Source organism: Homo sapiens, chromosome 4 (assembly GCF_000001405.40).
Source record: "Homo sapiens chromosome 4, GRCh38.p14 Primary Assembly".
In the NCBI taxonomy this organism is placed as follows: Eukaryota; Metazoa; Chordata; class Mammalia; order Primates; family Hominidae; genus Homo; species Homo sapiens.
The window spans coordinates 55,078,481-55,097,059 of record NC_000004.12 but is presented as its reverse complement, the minus strand read 5'-3'; the positions used below and the strand labels follow the sequence as shown (position 1 = coordinate 55,097,059).

Here is an 18,579-nt window from a genome sequence, read left to right as displayed (position 1 = left end):
TGTGATGTTCTTTCATTGATGAAGGCAGTGCCAATGACCCTTTGCCAATAGGTTTTGTGCATTTCAAAGCTATCTTTCTCCATCTGCCTTTTTTCTCTTGTGGCCAAGGGAGTGTGTAATTTTGAGGTGGCTCATCAGAGCCTTAGATGTGGACCATGCCTGTGAATTAGTGGGAAGTGTAGCAGTCCATACAGGATCAAACACATAGTCTTAGTGCCATCAGCCTCATGTGCCAACTGGTCTTTCCAGCTGGCCTTAATTCGCCTGCACAGATCGGCACAGATTGGCTGGAACATTCGGTATAGCCCCTAACACGTGAAGATATTTAATACATGGTGTTGCTTCCTTATGAGGAAGTGCTGAAATGATCAGACCCTCAGAATCATAGTGAACCTGAAATGCAAAAATCCAGTTTTGCAGAAGAAGAGAATCTGGGCATGATTCCACTGCAGATGTATTCTCCGCTTTGCAAAAGGTTTCACAATGGGTTCCTTTAAATATCAAACTTTCTGGCTCACTTAAAATATGAATTTTATTTCAAATTAGAAAATAGAATTTACACTTCACTTTTGAGGAAATGCATGTGGTCTGTAAACTAGGTCACAGCTGTGTTACCCCGGAGGGTAAGTTGTATAGTGGCATGCAGGGAGGGAGGGACCCCAATTATTGAAGGAAATGTCCATACCTATGATTTCCCTCTTTGTACTGTATTTGTAGAAGGAGCAACACACAGTGAGCATCGAGCTCTCATGTCTGAACTCAAGATCCTCATTCATATTGGTCACCATCTCAATGTGGTCAACCTTCTAGGTGCCTGTACCAAGCCAGGAGGTGAGTAACTGTGGGTGGTTTTGGTCACCCAATTTTAACATGCCTCTCTGATAGTGTTTGAGGGAAAGCAGTCAACTCCTCTGGCCTTGATTTTCTTAGCTTAGAATACTTTGCGGATTCCTAGGAATAAATATATTTCATGGAGGTTTAATTGGCACTAGAATTAAATTATTGTAAAACTTTCTCTGAATTAAGAAATGTCATGCTACTATGATACAGTTTGTTACTTGTGTAACAGATGTCCAGAGAAGAGTAAACTTCCCTAAAACTTGAAAGCTTAAGGGTAGTTACCCCCAAAATGGAATCATATCAGGAGATTGCACTGAAAAGCAAGTAGATGGGTGGGTTTTCTTCTGAAATTTTGGTTAATCTTGTGAAAATGTGTTCTGGAAAAAAGAAAAGCTACAATATAAGGGGATTGGGACCAGCTGATTTCTACACTCCTGTCCCAATGAAAGGTTGTAGCCTTCTTCTAAGGTGTTTTTGGGTTCATCACTATATTAAACGCTTAGTGAGGAATATGAGTGAAAACCCATTTTCCTTCCTGGACATGCTGCCTGCAGGGCCACTCATGGTGATTGTGGAATTCTGCAAATTTGGAAACCTGTCCACTTACCTGAGGAGCAAGAGAAATGAATTTGTCCCCTACAAGGTATGTCATCTCCTAATCCTGCTCTGGCCATGTTATAAAATGAAGGGAAACTCAAAATGGTACAGGTTAGTTTTTTAGTTGAAATTTTGTGAAGAACTTGTGAGGAATCTTCTCATATTACCTCTTGGCTGTTGTAACTTCCTCTTTTACCTTCTGGGGGCCATATGTTTCTGTTTTATGTATGTGATTTTAATCTACTGACCCATTACAGAGTGTGGACATGGGGGAGAAGGCAGGTATGAGCGAGGAAAGGGGAGGGCAGAGGGTAGGACATCTCTGGGTTATTCTGTCTCTCCCCTAGCCATATTTGGCCCCGTGGAGTGTAAATCCCTCTGTGAAGAGCATCCTAATGCTGAAAGTGTGTCTGAATGCAACTCAAAATGTGGCATTTGTCACTTTAAGCTAAAGAAGGAGCTAGGCTTTGTGGAAGAAACCCTATTATGCACAAAACTTGCCCCAAGTTTCAGCTCAGAGATTGCATAATCCTGAAATTGATGTCCTCCTTGTCTGCTTTTTAGTAGTTTCAATTATCTCCATGGTTTACTACATTTTAAAGGTTGTAAACTTTTAAAGACTCATTTTGTATTCAAGGAGTTTGTTTGTTCCTTTGCTTTTTTATAGACCAAAGGGGCACGATTCCGTCAAGGGAAAGACTACGTTGGAGCAATCCCTGTGGATCTGAAACGGCGCTTGGACAGCATCACCAGTAGCCAGAGCTCAGCCAGCTCTGGATTTGTGGAGGAGAAGTCCCTCAGTGATGTAGAAGAAGAGGAAGGTACTGGCTAGTGCTTCCTGCATGCTATGGCATGCTCTTGTCAGAGCAGACAGGGTGATAGGGTGTTACAAGGAATTTGATCATGGGAAAAGTCCAATACTACCTCATAATTTGAAAGAGACCTGAATTTCTATAATAGACTGCCTCCATTCTGTCTCCCCAAAAGTGAAGTGTGGAAGCCCTAGACTGGGAAGTGAAGCAGGGCTAGCCTGAGAAATCTGGGTAGTCCAAGTGGGCTAAGCAGTCGGCTACAACCACAGCAGTGTTCTTAAAATACTGGTTCAGCATTTATTAGTGAGAGAGGCCACAAGTTTTCTGGTAGTTGACTAGCCTCTCCATTGCCTTGGAGAGCCCCAGAGTGGTTTGCCCCACGTTGCATGCTTTACCTGTGCAAAAGTCTTTTCATTATACCTAACCTTCTCAAAGGCAGTTTAGGAGCCATCTGTTGTTTCTACCCTACCCCAAGCGGCTTATCAAGTCTTCCTTCCAACCATACTTCCTCAGGCGAGTCTTGATAAATATCCTGGCCTTTATTAAGTTATGTTTCCAGTGATATTTTATTTATTTGTTTTTATGTTTATTTTTATTTTTTTGAGGTGGAGTCTCATGCTGTTGCCCAGGCTGGAGTGCAATGGTGCGATCTCGGCTCACTGAAACCTTCGCCTTTTGGGTTCAAGTGATTCTTGTGCCTCAGCCTTCCGAGTAGCTGGGATTACAGGTGCCTTCCACCATGCCCAGCTAATTTTTTTTTTTTTTGTATTTTTAGTAAAGATGGGGTTTCACCATGTTGGCCAGGCTGGTCTCGAACTCCTGATCTCAGGTGATCCGCCTGCCTCAGCCTCCCAAAGTGCTGGGATTATAGGCGTAAGCCTCCGTGCCTGGCCTGAGTGATATTTTAGTGCTCTTTTTGGGTGGAGCTGTGGTCCCAGCCTAACTTCCAGGACTTCAGCCGGCTCCAGGACACACTGTATTTCTGCCTCCTTCAGAAGGAGCAGAGATAGCGTTGTGGATGTAGAGATGGGTGACAGGCTGGCTCCCCTTGAGGCATAAGTCTAGAAGAATAGTGGAAGAAACCCACTCTGTTTCCCTTGACATGAGGCTACAGAGAGAATTTGCATTTAACTCCTTTTCCTTAGAAGCTGAGAAGGTAGTGTGAGGCTGGGACTTGGTCTAGAAGCACATGGGGAGGTGGTCTAGGCTTCATTTAGCTGGGCCCACACTGAGTGGTGCTGCCTCTACCCTGCTCTTTGTCTTTCAAAAAACAGTGGCCAGTGAGCCAGAAACCTAAGAGATTGAGTTGTTGAGAAAAAGGCTCACAGCCTTTTAAATACTTACGAATTTATTACTACAACTAAGTTTTTGTTTACTCTGGTATTTGTCTCCAGGAAAGAAGCCATAAGTCTTATCTGACCAAAGAGATGATTTTGAAACACCCATTTAATATCTTAGTGTTTATTTGTACCAGTTGCACTGAAGTAAATACCACCAATTTACGTAAATTTATCTTTCCATGTTTCTGTTATCTCTCAGGAAAAAACACCCTCCCAGGCCAGATTTAATGTATTTACAGCACTTTTTAAGTTTGAAAATGAATTAAATATATTTCTAGTATTTTTAGTTATCTATTGCAGATTATAGTTTGACTTTTGGCCTTTGTCCCAGGACAAAACCTGGAGAGAAGAGATTCAATGACCCTGAATATTGTTGTTTTATTTTTAGAGTTCTTGATATGAAACTATTGTTTATCCCTCTGGGTACATGACAAAAAACAGTGTAAGTGGCAAATTTGGAAATGTCCTCTTTATTTCCCAGATTATCTAGGTCAGTGTTACCTTATTCTACCTCCTGGATTTACTGGTTCAATTTGGCTAAAATGGAAAAACCAGTATTGTTCCTAAGGGGGTATGATGAAGGCTAATGATACTGGGATTCAGGAGATTTACAGAAGATAGAAGCATTGACTCTCTGCTTCTATTTCCTAAAAACTTAACTCCCAAGTCTTAAAAAGATTATTACTCTAGCAAACTTAGAAACATCACACTAACTCATGGAAATACTGATCTCCATCCTCCTGCCTCTTTGGACAGCTCCTGAAGATCTGTATAAGGACTTCCTGACCTTGGAGCATCTCATCTGTTACAGCTTCCAAGTGGCTAAGGGCATGGAGTTCTTGGCATCGCGAAAGGTAAGAAAGGTTGAGGGGAAATCAGCTATCTTTTCAGATCACAGGTTTGGAAATAAGATGTCCAGTGTCAGCCATTGGTGCTTGTTTGGGATTGTAATTCATTCACCACTTCTACGTCTTTTAGAAGAGCTCTACTGGGGAGGCTCTGTTTCTGCTGAGTAAGAGTGGTTAAGGAGTTCATGAAATTAAGCTGTATAATAAAGGCTTGTCAAGCATCTACTAAGTGTGAGGCAGTCTTCTGAGCACTGAGGATACTGTGGTGAACAATCAGGCAAAGCTCTTCACCTTCATGGAGTTTACAGTTCTAGTGGGTAGAGCAAACAATAAGCAATATAAACAAGTAAAACGTGTTGTAGGTTAGATGAGAGTAAATGCTATGGGGAAATAAAGCAAGAAAGGGTTATAGAATACACAGGAGCAATGCACTTGTGTATGTTTATGCTTCTCTGTGTGTGTACATCTACTTTAAACAAGGTAGACGAGGAAGGCTTTACTAAGAACTTGACATTTGAGCAATGACCTGGAAAGGGGAGGGGCTGAGCCTTACAGATATCTTGGCATGAGAATCATTTTTAATTTATTTTACATTCATCAACATCCATCAAAAAGTATTTGTTAGGAGTATAATTAGAAACGAGGAAGGACAGGCTTCAGATGAGAGCGATTAAAAGAGCTAAAATTAGAAAAGTAGGCCAAACAAAGGCTGAGATGGGGACGTGACAAGTTACAACTATTCCAAAGGTTGTAAACACCAAGCGGGGAGCAAGGCTGGTGGCAGTGATTCCCCTGGAAAGGATAAAAGGTGTAATTTTATATTAGGTAACAATACTTCAAATTAAGGATCAGGAAGAACTATCAGTTGACAGAATGTATTCATGCAGCTTAATGAAGAAAGAAAGACTTAAGTCATATTTTTTTTTGTTTTTCCTAAATTAGAATGAAATCTTCAACCCATGTTTTCCCCTTCTCATAGCATTAAAGGCCTCAGGCTCTTTGATGTTTCTGCTAGGTAGCTCTTATGTTCTCTCTCCCAAGGGGAAGGAGGAGAACTGGGACCTTATAGGGTTTTCCCAAAGAGAAAGGCCCTTTACACTTCTTGGAGATTATGACTTATTATTACCATTTTTTTATGGCCGGAATTCGCCACTTAGTCAGGGTTCCTTTTGGGGACTAGGAAGAGAATGGAAATGAATGTGGGAATGCTTTAACTTTCCTTACATCTACCAGACTATTTCTTGAATCCACTTGGTTGTCGGGTTAAAAAAGGAAACTTTTTGTTTGGGGGGAAAAGTCAAAAACACTGTCTGTTTTTTGGAATTGCCAGTGTTGCTCAATTGTGCTAGATAATGTGCTTCTGAATATGCCTTGTTCAGAGGAGAGTGCCATACAGATTTGAGGTGTGGGAAGGTCAGCAATGCCTGGCTTACATGATCACTTCTCCAATGATTTAAGAATTCTCCTTTTGGCCAGGTGTGTTGGCTCATGCCTGTAATTCCAGCACTTTGGGAGGCCAAGGTGTGTGGATCACCTGAGGTCAGGAGTTTGAGACCAGCCTGGCCACCATGGTGAAACCCCGTCTCTACTAAAAATATAATAATTAGCTGGGCGTGGTGGCACACCTGTGGTCCCAACTACTTGGGAGGCAGAGGCAGGAGAATCACTTGAACCTGGGAGGTGAAGGTTGCAGTGAACTGAGATTGCACCACTGCACTCCAGCCTGGGCGAGAGTGAGATTCCTTCTCAAAAAAAAAAAAAAAAAAAAAAAAAGTTTTCTTCTAAGCCATTGATTCATTTCTTGTGCTCCCCAAGACTCATTTTCTTACAAAATATCATGTGGAGCTAAAGCTGCCGAGTAGTAGGAAGTTAGCTGAAGTTTGGAGGATACAGAGAAAGGAGAAACTGAGAAGCTAAAAGGAAGAGAAAGAAGTCAAGATGAATCTCATTGTACTATTAATGCACTAGAAAATCAACCTGACTTGTGATAGGCTGAAATTGCCTTAATAGACCTTTATAATAACCCAGCACTTTGAAATCAGGGGAAGCCACATTGGGAATTGTTTATCAGAGCCAGTCTGGCTTCAGCTTCATACGGAAGGGGGAAACCAACAAAGAGCACTAAACCAATGAGAGCCCCTTGTTTCTGATTTCCGTGCATTCATTCAAAAAACAAATCCCGTTCTCGGACCTCCTTAGAATAACACGTTTTAAACCAAATATGGGGCCAGGTAAAAGGAATGTGTGGATGTGACCAGAAACACACTCTTTTGTGTCCTAGAGGAGCCTATTTATGATTCCATCATCATATTATAACTTAATTATTTAACTCCAAAGGCTGGGGCTGTTTATGGAATAAGCAGATGTGTGTCTCAGCAAAGCTCACAGACTTTTTTCCTGAAGTGTTGATAAAAGATACTAACCCAGTCCTTGTTAATCAGTTGGCTTTCTGATGTGGGATTTTTTTTTGATGCATGAGGTCACAACAGATGTGAAAGAGATCAGCTGTGCCGAGACCTAATGCACACATGATTCTCTTTGCAGTGTATCCACAGGGACCTGGCGGCACGAAATATCCTCTTATCGGAGAAGAACGTGGTTAAAATCTGTGACTTTGGCTTGGCCCGGGATATTTATAAAGATCCAGATTATGTCAGAAAAGGAGATGTAAGTTTCAAATATGAACCCAGTGCTTGGTTAAGTAACAGAATTAAAACTCCTCGTAGAGAGCTTCAGGACCTGTGTTCAGGAACAGAGGAAGTTTTTTTCTTCAGATATTTGCTAATTTGGGTTCTGAATCCTTGTCTTCTACCCCTGTAGGCTCGCCTCCCTTTGAAATGGATGGCCCCAGAAACAATTTTTGACAGAGTGTACACAATCCAGAGTGACGTCTGGTCTTTTGGTGTTTTGCTGTGGGAAATATTTTCCTTAGGTAAGTCATTTCTTTTTGTCCTTCCATCCAGACTCCAAAGAGGAAGACAAAAGTTGTCTTTTCCTCTCCTGTACTTCATGTCTATCAGGCAAAACTTCTCGGAAGCTTTGAAAAAAAAAATAGATACATAGGTGATGAGGATGTGCAAGATTCAGGCTCAGGGTTTTCTATAAGAGAAAATCAAATCAAAGAATGTCTCCTCCCTGTTTTATTCTAGGTGCTTCTCCATATCCTGGGGTAAAGATTGATGAAGAATTTTGTAGGCGATTGAAAGAAGGAACTAGAATGAGGGCCCCTGATTATACTACACCAGAAATGTAAGACTTTAAGAAGTATTCCTGTGTTCTCTTTCTTTGCTCGCAAATTCTCCTTGCCTGGAAGACTTTCCATTATATAGACCTTCTTCATTGCCCAGTTAGTGTCCTGCTTTTACTTTGGGGCCTTTCTTGATAATTTCAAGCATGGAGTCATCACTTCTTGAAAAGATAGTACTTTATTATTCAAAGCAACCAGTTAGTTTTTATTAGATGTTGCTTTAAATGTTTTCTATACACATTGAGCCTCTGGAGTATGGGACTCTGTGTCTTACACAGTTTTGTATCCTTATTTAGCATCTCACCTCGTCAGCTCTTTACAAATGTGTACTCATTTAAGTGCTTATTTTCAGCATTCAGGAAGAAAGAGGCATTTAATGAAATCAGTGTTTTGCTTCTCTAGGTACCAGACCATGCTGGACTGCTGGCACGGGGAGCCCAGTCAGAGACCCACGTTTTCAGAGTTGGTGGAACATTTGGGAAATCTCTTGCAAGCTAATGCTCAGCAGGTTTGTCACCTCCATCCAAGAAGCACCTACAAAGAGTACTTAGATGTCAAGGACTTTCCTACTGCCTGAACTGTCTCATGGCTACCATGCCATCCTCTCAGCCATTGAATAATCTACTGTATTCTTCTACATCTGAGTAATAATGCTTTTCTAAAAGCTGTAATTACCCTTTTAGACAGATAGGATTCTAATTTATAACCCGGGAGCAGACCACTCTGATTTCTACCTACTTATCTTTTTGTTATATTTTCAAATCCTCTTCTAAAGTTAAAACAAAGAAAAAATCTGGTTGATCCACAGAAGATCAACAATGGAAGAAATTTCAAGAAATTTTTAATAAATTCTGCAGGCAAAAATACATCTAAGCTATGCAAAAGAGATGGTTTCTGTCTTGGTATCATCCCAGGTTCTTATAACTTCCACTGGAAGATTTTAGAGTTGTAGTGTTTACTATTAGAATGTTATTTAATCTCTAGTCAATGCCTCTTACTACAATGGAAGTGAATTTCCTCTTTCTTTTCTTTTGAACAGCTGGGGGACGATAGGTCAGCTCTATTTTTATCAATAAACCTTCCAAACATTTACAGATATCAAATAGCCCTTTATTTCTTTTTCTTGATGCAATAATATTAAGTTGTGCAACCTTTTCTCAAAAGACCCATTTTCCTACCCATTTGTTGCTTTTCTTTAGACTGTCATCAGTTTTTCCATTGCCTTGAAATGTGGTGGCTAAAACTGGATGCCATGCCCTTTGAAGGGCTTGGCTCGTGTGGTTAGGGCTTTGTGAATGAGTGATTTTTTGTTCTATGTAGCTCCTTGTGTTCTGTTGTTACCTCTCTGACCACAGCCTGCTTTCTCTTCATTGTAACTGCACTTCCCTGTGGGCTGCTTACCCATCTTGTTTTTAGTTCTCTCCTTTAATATACCTTCCATTTCAACAGCTTTTTGTTTCTGACACATGATTTGTATTGTTGTCTTAAAGTTCTATGTTCAGATATGAAAGCCACACACCCTATGTAGCCAAGAAGTCCCTGTGCCCTTTGTTTTTAATGAAAAGGCACTTGAAGAACTGAAGCCATAACAACAGTCTTCTGTGTTTATTGTTTCAGGATGGCAAAGACTACATTGTTCTTCCGATATCAGAGACTTTGAGCATGGAAGAGGATTCTGGACTCTCTCTGCCTACCTCACCTGTTTCCTGTATGGAGGAGGAGGAAGTATGTGACCCCAAATTCCATTATGACAACACAGCAGGAATCAGGTACTGTATATGGCCTAACATCCCCCGGGGGAGGGTGACTTCAAGGCCATCTCGGGAGGGGGATTGGAAGTGGAAGGAAGACCTTGTCTAAGGCTGTTGCATCCCACTTCCACATAACCTTAGCCCTGAGGTTAACATAATGGGGAATGCTCCTGGAAGAGGGCCTGGGTAGGTGTGCTTCCTCCCATCTGTAGCCCACGCTGCTGCCACAGCATTGCCTTTAAGAATTCCAAGCCCTGCAGCTGCAATAGCTGGAATGCCACAGTTTGCTAATTTCCAGAATAAAGAGACGAGTTTTACAAAGACATCTGCATTTAAATTATCCCCGTGTATGCTTTTATTAATGTGAATTAAATGGCTTAGGAGAGATTCAGAAAGGAAGAGTTCTGTGCTTGCATGAGAACATGCTTATGGCTCTCTGGCAAGGATACAGAAAGCCATGGGTCTGTGTCCGGAATTAGACTGGACACTGCATCTCAGAAGCCCCTCCCACGTCTGATTTTCAGCATTTTATTTGCATAATGGGATGTCTGGGCTTATTTAAAACACATGCACTGCAGTCCTTTCCTGATTTGCAGAGGGGTTCTAAAGGCAGCTTTCTTTTTTCTCTCTCCCAGCACCTGTGCATAAGGAAAGAGTTGGTGTGGTTTTCTACAATATGATATTAAAATTGCCCTTTACTAAGGCTGGGACTACTTCATTTTGCTTTGTTTCTTTCCTAACCCGTTTGGGTGTTTTCCTGCTTTAATGGAACCCCTGACAGCATGGGTCCAGCCTGCCAGCCCGAGTGTGCCTGGGCTGCAGGGAGGGGCAGGGAGCTCTCTCATGTCCAGAACTTGGCCAGGTTGCCACATGGCAGGGGATGCTAAGGAGAAACTCGTGGACAGTTTGCCCTCTAGAGTCGTGTGGGGCAGCAGAAACACTGATGGGAAGGAAGAAAGCTTAGAAGCCAGCAAGACAGCTGACCGTTCCATTGAAGTCAAAAGCATTAGGCATATTTTTAAAGAACTTTGCCGTATATTATCAGATGTTGCCCACATCATGACACTCAGAGTCAGGCAAGGTAGAAACAATGATCTTTTTTTTTGATGTATTATTGAACATGAGGCTCAGTTCTATTACCTGAGGGCAGTACAAACTTGTAGTTAAAGATCAGGTATTAGAGTCAGATAGAAATGAGTAGGACCCCCAAGTCTGTCTTGTAGCAGCTGTGCAACTTGGGGCAAATCATCTACCCTCTGCCTCAGTTTCTTTATCTGTGAAATGAGACAAGGTCAGTGGTGCTGTTTGAAAATGGCTGTTTTGAGAGTTATAAGATATAATCTATTTCTAAGCACCTGGCCCTTGAAAGCACTCAGTAAAAGATACCTATTAAGTGAGCTGCTTAAAATCACATCCTTGAGATGAATCCAGTTCCTCTGACCCCTAAGTCCATGTTGTTTCCTCCCATGCCAAGGAGGGCCCTCAGAGAGAAACAGTAATGAGATGAGACTACAATTCCACTCCTGTGTTTACACATTTCCAGTTCAAGTTGAGCTGGCCTTTTAGTGTGACAGTTGTTCCCACACACCATTATTGCCTCCCCCTTTATCAGAAAGCCATTTGATCATGAACTACATTCCATGTGTTTTCTGTGACCAAGTAGAGTGATGATCCGAGTCGGCAGCCTCCTGGCTCACCGGGTGCTTTGCATATGGTGCTGAGCAGGAGAAGAAATCATGTTTGTGTAATGGAAGCACCAAATACGATGTTGGATATATAGAAGGGCTGCTAACGTTTATCCCCAGAAGCGTGGACAAATGTGACACCACACTCCCAGCACAGGCCTGGCTCCTATTTTCTGTCTGTGATTTTTGAATTGGTTTTTCCAGCCCAGTTTCTCTTTTATCCAGCCATAATTTGAAAAATAAAATGGAAATTGGAATCTTTTGTCTGCATCTCCTCTCCACCTCCTCCACCTTTTTTCCTTTCTATAAAATAAAACTCACGGTCACATTTTAATCATCTGGTTTTGAAGAAAAGCAGATAGAGGCATTTGCACACGGCATGCTTCATTCTGTTGCTCTCCTGGGGTTCTGTTTCTCTGGGGAGAATGAGTTGAGGCTGGGGTACTTCTCAGGGAGCTTGTTCTATCCTCTTACGCATTTCTGGCCAAGTACAAAAGCTGAGCAGTCTTTCTCCTTCTAATTTTCAATTCTATTGCATTATAAATAGAGTTGGACAGAGATATCACTGTGGGAGCTAGCTTCATGATTTGTTGCCCCTTTAAACCATTTGAAAAATATTTACTTAGCATTTATTTAGAGAAAAGGCTGAGAAGTGTGTGGGGGAGGGACCACTCATGTCTAGACTTAGCTTTGCCTCTAATTTCCCCTGTGGACCAGCTCTGGCCTCAAGTTTGCATGCTTCCTGCAAGAAAACACATACTTGCTGGGCTCATCTTTCTTTGAGGGCAGTTTGGGGACCATCGGCAATTGCTCTGTCATTTTCCCTGGGAGTTTCACCTCACACATCAAGCAGCTTATCAAAAATTTCTTTGCAGTTCTCTCTTAGAGAAAGGTTTTGGTACATACCATTTTCTTCATTTTGTAATTGTTAGGGATGATTAAATGGCCCTTGTAGATTGATGCTTGGGGCAGCCTGCTAGCTAGGTATTCCTGAGTTTGGCTCTACCATTAGACTGTTTGCAGTGGGACTGTCCTTTCTGCACTTTTTGTCTGTTTCATACCCCGTACTTACACCCCTGACCCTGCTACTGCATGATCAGTGCATGCATGACAAGAGAACAGTGCTGTGCACATACTGGGTGCTTAATAATGGCTTGAACAATTGTGTCTGCTGTTTTCTTCTTTCTTTTCCCTCCTGATACTCTTCCAAGGGAGTCTGTATGGAGTAGAGTAAAACAAAACAAAAACTTCACATGGGCTTTAGTGTCTGAAGGCCTAAGTTTGAGTCCCAGTTCTACCTTTTATTAGCCATTTTCTCCCTAATCCTTGACTCCCTCATCTCCAAAGGGGAAATAGTTAAAAGACCTGTTTCTCCGTCTTAGGAGAAACAGATGCACCATTGTCTGTGAAAATGCTTTGTCAATCATGAGAGGATCATGCCATTTAAAAAATTACTGGATTAAGAATTTAAGGAGCTGTCCTTTCTAAGGCAGCTGAATTATTGTCCAAACTCGCCAACCCTAGTTGATTCTATCCCCTAGATATCTCTAGAATGAGCCCATGTCTCCAAACCTCATGGGCATTCCCTTTTTCTAGCCAAGCTGCCTTTCTTTCTCCTGAAGAAGTGCAGTATTTGTCTCTTGGGTCTTATGCCTCTAGTCTTATTCTTTTCAATCCAGAGTCAATTCTCTAAAGGGCATATCTGATCTTGTCAATCCCATGCCTAAAATCCTTCAGTGGCTCTTCATTGCCCTCAAAATAATAATCCAAACATTCCAGTTATGTGATTTTGGATAAGTTCCTCAAATTTTCTATGCCTTGGTTTCCTCATCTGAAGAGTTGGGATAGTAATACTCACCCCTAGAGAGGTACCGTGGTGAACACATCATGAGATGCTGCTTAGACAGCTTCTGGCACAGTGTCAGGCTTGCGGCAGATTATCAGTGAGGGCTTCCTGAACAAGTGAATGCAGGAATGATTGACTACGGTACCAGTAGTGTTTGACAACTGTTACTTTTAGGGGTTGGACTTAGAAAGTAGGCTTTGCTTGCACCCTGTGTATCATATCCTCTTAACTTGTGGAGTTTCCTGAGTGAGGATGTCACCGGAAAATCTCATTCTCTCCTCTCTCTATAGGGAGGAACCAGCCTCTTGGGGTAGGGGAGAGAGAATTAATTTCCATTCTTCTCCTTTGGCCCAAGGTCTATGCAGCATGTTCCAGAAGTCTGCTTGTAGTGGGAAGTAGGCTGGTATAGGAATGAAGAATGTATTTTCTGTCTCGGTGGGCCCTTCCAGTGAATAGGACTTCCCTTCCCTCCACTTGGGCTGTAAGTGATTTTGATAGCATCAACTAGACTCACCCAAAGCCACACGGCCGGGAAGGAGCATTCTCAAGAAGGAGAGGATCTGTTGTTCAACAAGTCTTATTCTTTGGACTCCTGAAGGAAGCTTTGGAAGTCAAAGGAGAAAAATGAGCTTTGTTTGAAGAGGGCATTATTCTTCCTAAGAGCAATAAGCCCAACATTCTCTATGTCATTCATCTTCCCAACATCCCTGTGAGCTGGGGAGGGAGTGCTACTGCCAACACATCTTATAGATGGGACAAGAGGGTCACAGAAATATTCATGACTTTCTCAAGTTTCTGCAGTCAGTGGTAGACTCTGAAATAGGCAAAATATCTTGTTATTCTCAAACCACTGCTCTTTCCTGAGACAGCAACTCTGGGGGCGAAAACGAGGGGACAGTGAGACTCAGCCCACCTTCTCTTTGCACACCAAGCCTCTGTTACATGGAGGAGGAAGAGGTTGTCTTCAAATCACTGCTGGGTTCAGTATCCTTTAAGGAGACCTTCAGATGTTTCCTCTGCCTATCTTTCATTGAATGGTTGCTCTGTGAGCATTATCCAGAAAAACTTTCCCAGGAGATGGCCAGACAGATGTGAAACACTCAGTAATATATCCAGAGCTCGATGGAGGAATCCCATGCAATCAGGAAGCCAAGTAGAAGGCAGTTGATCACTCCATCTGCTGTTGTTGTCTTTAGTCCAGAACTGGACCTCAGAAGTAGGATTCAAAAGAACAGGCTCATCGAGACTCCTCAGTTATATTATACTTTTAAATGTACTTTCTCAGGAAATTAAGCCTTCCATGTGTGCTAGCAGAGAAAGATTTTTATTTTGTTTTGTTTTTCTAAAGGATGTTTTGAAGGTTGCTATTAAGTTTGTGGTTGAAAGATAATGAACTTAGGTAGCCGATCTGCAGTCAAATATACCACCACTAAAATATAAATATTTGTTCTTTTGCAGTCAGTATCTGCAGAACAGTAAGCGAAAGAGCCGGCCTGTGAGTGTAAAAACATTTGAAGATATCCCGTTAGAAGAACCAGAAGTAAAAGTAATCCCAGATGTAAGTACGTCTTTTAAAAATAGTCTTAGAAATAATACAAAGGATGAAACACTAGCTAGATAAATATTAGCCTAAGCATTAAAGTTTTGGAGCCTCATTAGAAGGCTGCCCTCGAGTGTGTGTATCATGGGGTCATTATGGAGATGGAACTTTGTTTTTTTCATAAGTAAAGCCCTTGGTCCAAGGTTCAAGACAGTGTAGCTTTCTGACCAATTTCACTAAAGTGCAAGTAGTGTCATAGTGAAGACAGCGATGGTAACAGGCATTCTCAGCTGCTGATTTGTAAATTTTCTCTTCTCCCTGGCCTGTGTCTACTCATAGGAAGCAGTTGCTTCCTTTTGTAGCTTGGACAATTTGTGGCTATGATACCTTTATGTTCTTCCACAGGACCTTATTTGATAGACATGATAGATGGGTTGAGAAATCAGCTTAATTAAATAGTTGGTCATTTTATATGCTCAATTAACTGTGCCATCTCATTGTCTCTTAAAAAGGACAACCAGACGGACAGTGGTATGGTTCTTGCCTCAGAAGAGCTGAAAACTTTGGAAGACAGAACCAAATTATCTCCATCTTTTGGGTAAGACTCAGCCATATTAAAAAGACAAATTTCAATAGGAATTTTTGGAAGGAACTTAGGACTTTCAGTGTAAGTGCAGAATTTTCCCTATGGGGTCTTTGTTGGTTGGAGAAATTAGCATCAATTTAACAAATAAAGAATGGAAACTAACCACACAATAAAATTAAGTGATAAATCTAAAAATAATCTGAAATAAATTAGAGAATTTGGTCAATTTTTATGAGAATTCATGAATACTAGGGAATTTCTGTGTATATTTACTGTGGTCAGTAATGGCTAAATGAAAAAGGTGATTGGATGTGATCCGTAAAGCTGTCAATATGATTACAATCTTTGTGGACTCTGAAGAATTTTTAAGTCTGTATACAAATGGGTGCATCTGTGCTTAAGAAGTATGATATATAAATAAGCCAATATCTATTTGTTTGAGACATTTAAATATTATTGTCTGAATTCGAAGTATTTCATTGTGAGAAAAGTATTAAAATTAGTTTTAAATATAATCTCCCTTCTATGGCTCAGTAGGAATTTGTAGGTGTCTTGAATACGTGTACGTTCTCTTAACATAACAAATCAATGAAAATCTATATTTATAAGAATAATAGAATAAGTGTAGTTATGTATTTGCTGGAGTTTATTTGCTAGAGTATTCTTACCTAAAGGTAAGAATAGAGGAGGTTTTGATCTGCTTATAATCTTTTATATAAAATGGGAATACTCATGGGTTTTTGAATAATGCTCATACCAAAAAGAAAACAAACAAAAAAAACCCCAACATATTAAAAGGTGCCATTGTGCTATTTTATTGTTTTCTTTAAGGCCCAAGGTAAGAAATTGTGAAAGTCAATGATATGTTTCATTCATTGATTCAAAAAATGTTTATTCGGCAAGTATCATGTGCAGAGCACCATGCCATTGCTTGAGACACCTACATTAGTTTTGTTGGGGTTGAATTGAAAGAAAAAATTGTATTTCTCATTATTTGAAGTAACTTTTAAACTATGTATAAACACGAGTTACTAAAATTCCCTTTTGCAGTTTTAACATGAAGAAGTTGGGGAAAACACCTATTACCGGGAAAAAACACCTTAGAATGGCTTGTGAAAGTGTAAATCCTGAAGTTTTAGATCAACACAGCCTGCATTTCTAGGCTTTGACATGATTACCGTCTGTCAGGATTCCATGCCATTGAAAACATTTTCTAGTTGCTGCTGAGTGACAGGGGTTCTCAGTCCTTCCAAGGAATGTGGTTTTGATGAGTAAAAAGCAGCGTTTGATATGTCTGGCTTGACTGCACACATGCTTCAAGTTATTAAAGTTTAAAGTTGCTCAAGAGCTTTATTACAACCATACACATGCCCCGTAATTCCCAAATTGCCACAATAGGAAAAGCACAAGTGAAATTTAAGAACATCCCAATTTCCTTGAATATCATGCAAGTGGCCCTTTGGCGCCTGTCACTGTATACAAATTTGTCAATCTGCGAGGCCATAAACATGTTCCATCAGTTGGGGCCTTTGCATAACTCGAGAGAACTGCCTTTCATCTCATTTGAGGCTTGAAAGACTTGGACCTGAGTAAGAGGACTTATCTGCAACTACTAATTCATGCGAGTACCTGAAAATAGACCTTGTCCCTGTAAACCTGCTATGCTGATTAACAACTGGGAGAGATACGGGGCTGCGGTCTCCAGGGAGATGGCAGCCATATGGAGTTGGGAATGGGGTGAGGGTAAAAAGCAAAAGAATTGTCTTCTCTCTGCCAACTCCTTTGTTTGCCATTTCTTCTGCAGTGGAATGGTGCCCAGCAAAAGCAGGGAGTCTGTGGCATCTGAAGGCTCAAACCAGACAAGCGGCTACCAGTCCGGATATCACTCCGATGACACAGACACCACCGTGTACTCCAGTGAGGAAGCAGAACTTTTAAAGCTGATAGAGATTGGAGTGCAAACCGGTAGCACAGCCCAGATTCTCCAGCCTGACTCGGGGACCACACTGAGCTCTCCTCCTGTTTAAAAGGAAGCATCCACACCCCCAACTCCTGGACATCACATGAGAGGTGCTGCTCAGATTTTCAAGTGTTGTTCTTTCCACCAGCAGGAAGTAGCCGCATTTGATTTTCATTTCGACAACAGAAAAAGGACCTCGGACTGCAGGGAGCCAGTCTTCTAGGCATATCCTGGAAGAGGCTTGTGACCCAAGAATGTGTCTGTGTCTTCTCCCAGTGTTGACCTGATCCTCTTTTTCATTCATTTAAAAAGCATTTATCATGCCCCCTGCTGCGGGTCTCACCATGGGTTTAGAACAAAGACGTTCAAGAAATGGCCCCATCCTCAAAGAAGTAGCAGTACCTGGGGAGCTGACACTTCTGTAAAACTAGAAGATAAACCAGGCAATGTAAGTGTTCGAGGTGTTGAAGATGGGAAGGATTTGCAGGGCTGAGTCTATCCAAGAGGCTTTGTTTAGGACGTGGGTCCCAAGCCAAGCCTTAAGTGTGGAATTCGGATTGATAGAAAGGAAGACTAACGTTACCTTGCTTTGGAGAGTACTGGAGCCTGCAAATGCATTGTGTTTGCTCTGGTGGAGGTGGGCATGGGGTCTGTTCTGAAATGTAAAGGGTTCAGACGGGGTTTCTGGTTTTAGAAGGTTGCGTGTTCTTCGAGTTGGGCTAAAGTAGAGTTCGTTGTGCTGTTTCTGACTCCTAATGAGAGTTCCTTCCAGACCGTTACGTGTCTCCTGGCCAAGCCCCAGGAAGGAAATGATGCAGCTCTGGCTCCTTGTCTCCCAGGCTGATCCTTTATTCAGAATACCACAAAGAAAGGACATTCAGCTCAAGGCTCCCTGCCGTGTTGAAGAGTTCTGACTGCACAAACCAGCTTCTGGTTTCTTCTGGAATGAATACCCTCATATCTGTCCTGATGTGATATGTCTGAGACTGAATGCGGGAGGTTCAATGTGAAGCTGTGTGTGGTGTCAAAGTTTCAGGAAGGATTTTACCCTTTTGTTCTTCCCCCTGTCCCCAACCCACTCTCACCCCGCAACCCATCAGTATTTTAGTTATTTGGCCTCTACTCCAGTAAACCTGATTGGGTTTGTTCACTCTCTGAATGATTATTAGCCAGACTTCAAAATTATTTTATAGCCCAAATTATAACATCTATTGTATTATTTAGACTTTTAACATATAGAGCTATTTCTACTGATTTTTGCCCTTGTTCTGTCCTTTTTTTCAAAAAAGAAAATGTGTTTTTTGTTTGGTACCATAGTGTGAAATGCTGGGAACAATGACTATAAGACATGCTATGGCACATATATTTATAGTCTGTTTATGTAGAAACAAATGTAATATATTAAAGCCTTATATATAATGAACTTTGTACTATTCACATTTTGTATCAGTATTATGTAGCATAACAAAGGTCATAATGCTTTCAGCAATTGATGTCATTTTATTAAAGAACATTGAAAAACTTGAA

General features: G+C 41.3%; 1 protein-coding gene across 1 annotated transcript in view, besides 1 other annotated feature; it reads left to right on the top strand.

Annotated features, from left to right (window-relative positions):
- Positions 1 to 18,579, top strand: part of KDR (kinase insert domain receptor) — a 47,115-nt gene extending 28,536 nt beyond the window's left edge. The window contains exons 19-30 of the mRNA NM_002253.4: positions 718 to 831; positions 1,395 to 1,483; positions 2,105 to 2,258; positions 4,346 to 4,443; positions 6,982 to 7,104; positions 7,258 to 7,369; positions 7,587 to 7,686; positions 8,087 to 8,192; positions 9,302 to 9,453; positions 14,425 to 14,524; positions 15,019 to 15,104; positions 16,897 to 18,579. Coding sequence (NP_002244.1) covers positions 718 to 831; positions 1,395 to 1,483; positions 2,105 to 2,258; positions 4,346 to 4,443; positions 6,982 to 7,104; positions 7,258 to 7,369; positions 7,587 to 7,686; positions 8,087 to 8,192; positions 9,302 to 9,453; positions 14,425 to 14,524; positions 15,019 to 15,104; positions 16,897 to 17,119 — 1,457 coding nt within the window. The 3' untranslated portion in view covers positions 17,120 to 18,579. The remainder of the gene's footprint in view (positions 1 to 717; positions 832 to 1,394; positions 1,484 to 2,104; positions 2,259 to 4,345; positions 4,444 to 6,981; positions 7,105 to 7,257; positions 7,370 to 7,586; positions 7,687 to 8,086; positions 8,193 to 9,301; positions 9,454 to 14,424; positions 14,525 to 15,018; positions 15,105 to 16,896) is intronic.
- Positions 9,464 to 9,758: a silencer, noted in NCBI's record as "tiled region #1754; K562 Repressive non-DNase unmatched - State 24:Quies". NCBI's record gives its function as "represses a minimal TATA promoter and a strong SV40 promoter by Sharpr-MPRA in K562 cells {active_cell/tissue: K562}" and the evidence as "EXISTENCE:reporter gene assay evidence [ECO:0000049][PMID:27701403]".